Source organism: Homo sapiens, chromosome 6 (genome assembly GCF_000001405.40).
Source record: "Homo sapiens chromosome 6, GRCh38.p14 Primary Assembly".
Lineage (NCBI taxonomy): Eukaryota > Metazoa > Chordata > Mammalia > Primates > Hominidae > Homo > Homo sapiens.
The window spans coordinates 60,670,698-60,675,805 of NC_000006.12; the positions used below are offsets into that span (position 1 = coordinate 60,670,698).

At 33.1% G+C, this 5,108-nt stretch overlaps 1 annotated feature.

Moving 5' to 3' along the window:
* Positions 379 to 1,227: an enhancer, noted in NCBI's record as "OCT4-NANOG hESC enhancer chr6:57638823-57639671 (GRCh37/hg19 assembly coordinates)". NCBI's record gives its function as "activates a minimal SCP1, AML or CMV promoter by ChIP-STARR-seq in primed H9 embryonic stem cells {active_cell/tissue: H9 hESC(primed)}" and the evidence as "EXISTENCE:reporter gene assay evidence [ECO:0000049][PMID:30033119]".

Sequence of the window (5,108 nt, forward strand, 5' to 3'; positions counted from 1 at the left end):
CTTGTCAACAAATTGTGCTGAAACAACTGCACTGCCATATACCAAGGCATGAACTCTAACACATACTTCACACTTTATGCAAAAATGAACTGAAAATAGGTGCCAGACCTAAATGTAGAACCTGACTTAACTTCCAGAAGAAAACACAGGGGAAAATATTTGTGACCTTGGATTAAGCAAAGACTTTCTTAGGTATGACACAAATGTCAAAATTAGAGAACAAATTGTTGAGTTGCACCTCATCAAAATTAAAAAAACTTTTCTTATTCAAAGAAACTGTTGAAAGAATAAAAAGACAAGTCAAAGATTGGGATAAATATTTCCATATCACATTTTTAACGAAGGACTTGTATCCAGACTATATAAATAACTTTCAAAATTTGATAATGAGACAAAACAGCCAAATAAAATTTTTGCAAAAGATCTGAACAGATACCTCACCAAAGAAACTCGGTATATAACAAATAAGCACATAAAGCAAGCAGGAAATGCAAATTATAGCCACAGTATGATACCATTAGTAGCCTACTGGGAGAGTTACATATATTTTAAAAAATGCATAATACCAAGTTAGTTTGCAAGAACGTGGACCAAGCAGAATTCTCATACACTACTGGTGGGATTGCCAAATGGTATGCCCACCTTGAAAAACAGTTTAAAATTTTCTTATAAAGTTAAACATATCTCTGCCATACAAGTCAGCAATCCCACCCTTGGTATTTTTTTTTTTTTTTCAAAGAATTACATATGTTTTAGAAGCTATGAAACTTGTAACTTCTCCTGGTTCTATAGAAAGATCTTTTCTCATCTTGATGGGAGGAAGTGAAGCCATTGTTATTTTGATGTTTCCTTTAAAGTGAAATGTAAGGCTTATGTCAGCAATCTTATGCCCTTCCACTTGCAGCAGGCAGCTTTCATTTTAATGCTAATAATGCTTATATTTCATTGCTTCTTCAACTGAGTGTCTCCCTGTGAGGACAAAAACTAGTCTTTTAAAAAAATATGCAAGCAATTCATGAAAATGTTTTTGTAGTTAAAATTACATAGTATAAAACCTAAATATCCTTTACATGCCTTGCCCTCATCCAATCCTACTTCCCAAAGAGAGCCACTGTTAACCATTTGTTTCTATCTTTCCAGATCTTTCTCTGTATTTGCATGTATGTATACTTGAACCATTTAAATGGTCGTATTTTCTGTTCATAAATAATAATGCCATGTATATTGCTCTGTAAATTTTTTATTTAACAATGTATGTAGGATAACTTTCCAACCAATACATATAGATCTGCTTCATTCTTTTTAATTCTTAGGTAATTTTCATGCATCTATAATTTAATTAACCATGCACCAATTGATAAACATTCAGGTTATTTCTATTTTTTCCCACTACATATAATACTAGAACACATATCTACATACAAAAATTTTTTTGTTACTTAGGTAAATATTTCTGTGAGATAGATTCTTAAGAGTAGAATTGCAAGAATTCACTTGATACTGACAAATTGTTCTCTTTGAGTCTGTACCAATTATATTCCCCATTAATAATAATTTCTGTTGAATTTATTACCAGGAGGAGGATTGTAGGGTCCTAGGTTATACATATATTTATTTGAATTTATGGATGAGCTAAACCATATTCCCAAGTCGTTGCACCAGTTTACACTCCCACCATCAGTATGTGAGGGTTTCAGTTGTTCTACAATCTTGCCAATATTTGGTATTGTCACTTGCTAAAATTTTGGCCACTATTGTGGGTATGTTGTGGTATCTCTCTTTTATTTTAATCTGCAGTTTCCTATTGACTTAAGTGGTTAACCACCTTTCCAAGTGTTCACTGGGCAGTTGGACACCTTTCCTTGTAAAGTTTCTGTTTAAATTTTTTGCCCATTTTAGAAACAAATCAGGCTGTCTTATTCTTATTGATTTGTAGGATACAAATCCTGCTGGGTGTTGCATAAATTCTCTATTCTTTTTGTTGCTGTTTTTACTGTTTTAATGGTATTTATTAATGAACAGAAGTTTTAAATTTTAATGTAACCCAATTTATCTATCTTTTCCTTTGTGAATAGTGCTATTTTTGCCACATTTAAGAAATCTTTGCCTACCCTCAAGGTGAACAAAGACATTTTCTGTTATCTTTTATTAATAGAGATTTTCTTGTTTTATTTTTTACATTGAGATCCACAATCCACCTGGAGTTAATTTCAGAGTATGGTATAAGCTAGGAATCAAAATTTATTTTATTCTCCATGAATATCTGATTCAGCCAGCACCATTTGTTGAAAAGATCATTTTTCACCCACTGTTCTGTAGTGTAATTTTAAAAAATAAATCAAGTGACTGGATGTTTCTCAACTCTCTTATCCATGCTGTTGGTTTATTTCTCCAACCTTATGACATTATCACACTTTCTTAATTACTGAGCTGTATAGTAAGTCTTGATATCTTGTAGTGTATGTCCTCTAATTTTGTTCTTCAAAATTGTCTGATCTATAGTTGGCACTTTGCCTTTTTCGTATAAATTTTGGAAAAAGCCTTTAATTTTCCACAAAAAAAATCTTTTTGGAATTTTGTAGCAGCCCTAGTGAGATATAATCCACATATAATGAAGTGTACTTATTTAAAGGGTAATTTTATAAGTGCTGACATGTGTAATAATCTGTGAAGCAATCACCAGAATCACGATAATGAATATATCCATCACCCAGCACTTTCCTTGTGCCCCTTGATAATTCCTCCATCCTATTCTTCCCAGTGCCCTATTGGCAGAAAACTGCTGCTATTATGGTTTACATAATTTGTTTGCATTTTATATAATTTTATATAAATGGAATCATACAGTATTTACATTTTTCTTGGTCTGACTTCTTTCACTCAGCATACTTATTTAAGTTTCATTCATTCTGTTTTTTATCAATAGTTCATTCTTTTTTTATTGTGGAATAGCATTTCATTGTATACATTTGTTTATTTACCTGTTGATGAACATGTTGGTTGGCTTGTTTTTGGCTATTATAAATAAAACTGCTAAGTATGTTCATGTGCAAGTCTTTTATGGACTTATGCTTTTATTTCTCTTGAGTAAAATACTCAGAGTGGAAATGTTAGGCCATTAGCAGATACATGTTTAACTATTTAGGAAGGTGCCCAGCTGTTTTCCAAACTGGTTGGCCATTTTACATGTTAAGCAGAATGCTGGTATTAGTTATTAATCCCAGTGGAGGACTCTAAAAACATCTACTCATTGTATCTTGGCATCAGAGTTGGCAAGGAAAACAGAACACGGTCAAGCACTGAATAGAACAACACTTGACTTACATTGAGAAGAAACAGAGCAAGATCAGCTTTAATATTATGTGTTAATTTCCCATGGCCAGTGGGTATCTCCCAGCAGCAGATGCAGGGCAATTTTCTCATATGAATCCCTCTTGTGCCACAGTAGAAGGACCCTGTCTCCTCCCACAAGGAAGACAGATATAGCAATGGGATTGGCCGGATGCCATGTGACATACATGCTTAAGCATAGCAAAGGATCACACACTGAGCTTGCAAAAGTGAAAGGCATTCCTACAGAAGGGAATAAGAGTAGCACAGGCCTTGTGAGCTCTTTACGTCTTGGTATCTCGTGTGGCCAAGTGCGAGTCAAAAGGCTATGTGCATGAGACTACCATTCCCAACATTACATCTCACCAATGGTGTGTGAGAATTCCAACTGCTCAGCATTTTCAACTGGAACATGGTATGGTCAGTATTTTTAATTTTAGACATTCTAATAGATGTGAAGTGATTTTAATTTGCATTTTCCTAGTGACTAATGATGTTAAGCATCTTTTCATGTGCTTACCTGCCATCTGTATATATTTTTGGGTAAAGTGTTTATCCAGTGTTTTTTCCAGAGTTTACTGGGTTGTTAATTTTCTTACTGTTGAGTTTCGAGAGTTCATTATATATTGCGGATACAAGCATGTATTATCAGATGCATGCTTTGCAATTATTTCCTCCCTGTTTGTGACTTTGTTTTCTTAAGAAAATCTTTGTTTGTTTGTTTGAGAAAGTGATTTACTCTGTCACTCAGGCTGGAATGCAATGGCAGGATCACAGCTCACTGCAGCCTCGACCTCCTGGGCTCAAGGGTTCCTCCAACCTCAGCTTCCCTAGTAGCTGGGATAAGAATGCCTTTTGAAGGACACAAGTTTTTAATTTTGGTGGAATCCAATTTATCATTTTTTTCTATTATCGATTATGCTTTTGGTTTTGTATCTAAAAAAAATTTGCCCAATCCAAAGTCACCAAGTTTTTTTCTACATTTTCTTCTAGAAGTTTTATAGTTTTCAGTTTTACATTTAGGCCTATGATCCATTTGAAATAATATTTGTAGATAACGTGAGGTATGGAACAAGTTAACTTTTTTCTACAAATGGTTATCCAACTTGTCTGTCTTGACACCAATGCGAGACTCTTTTAATTACTGTAGCTCTTAAGTAAGTCCTGAGATCATGTAATGTTAGTCCTCAACTTTGTTCTCTTATTTTCAATGTCATTTTGGCTATTTTAAGCCATTTGCATTCCTGTATTGATTTTAGAGTAAGCTTATTAATTTCTAGGACAAAAGCATGCTGGAATTTTGACTGTGATTACATTGATTTTATAGATCAATGTAGGGAGAATTGACATTTGAACAAAATTGAATCTTCTGATCCATAAACATGGTATATCTCTCCATTTATTTATGTATCCTCTAAAGTATTTCAGCAGTATTTCATAATTTTTATTATACAAGTCTTACACACTTTTGACAGATTTATCCCTAAATATTTTATATATTTGATGTTATTATAAATGGTATTGTTTTATTCATAATTTCAATGTGCTTATTGCTACTATATGAAAAAATTATTGATTTTTATATTGATCTTTTATCCTGCAACATTATTTAAGTACGTATTAGTTGTAATAGGTTTTCTGAGGATGCCCTGGGATTTTCTGCATAGATAATCATATTGTCCATGAATATAAAGAGTTTTACTTCTTCCTTTACAATCTAGATGTCTTATATTTTTTTTTCTTGCCTTATTGCACTGCCTAGATTCTCTAGTGCAGTT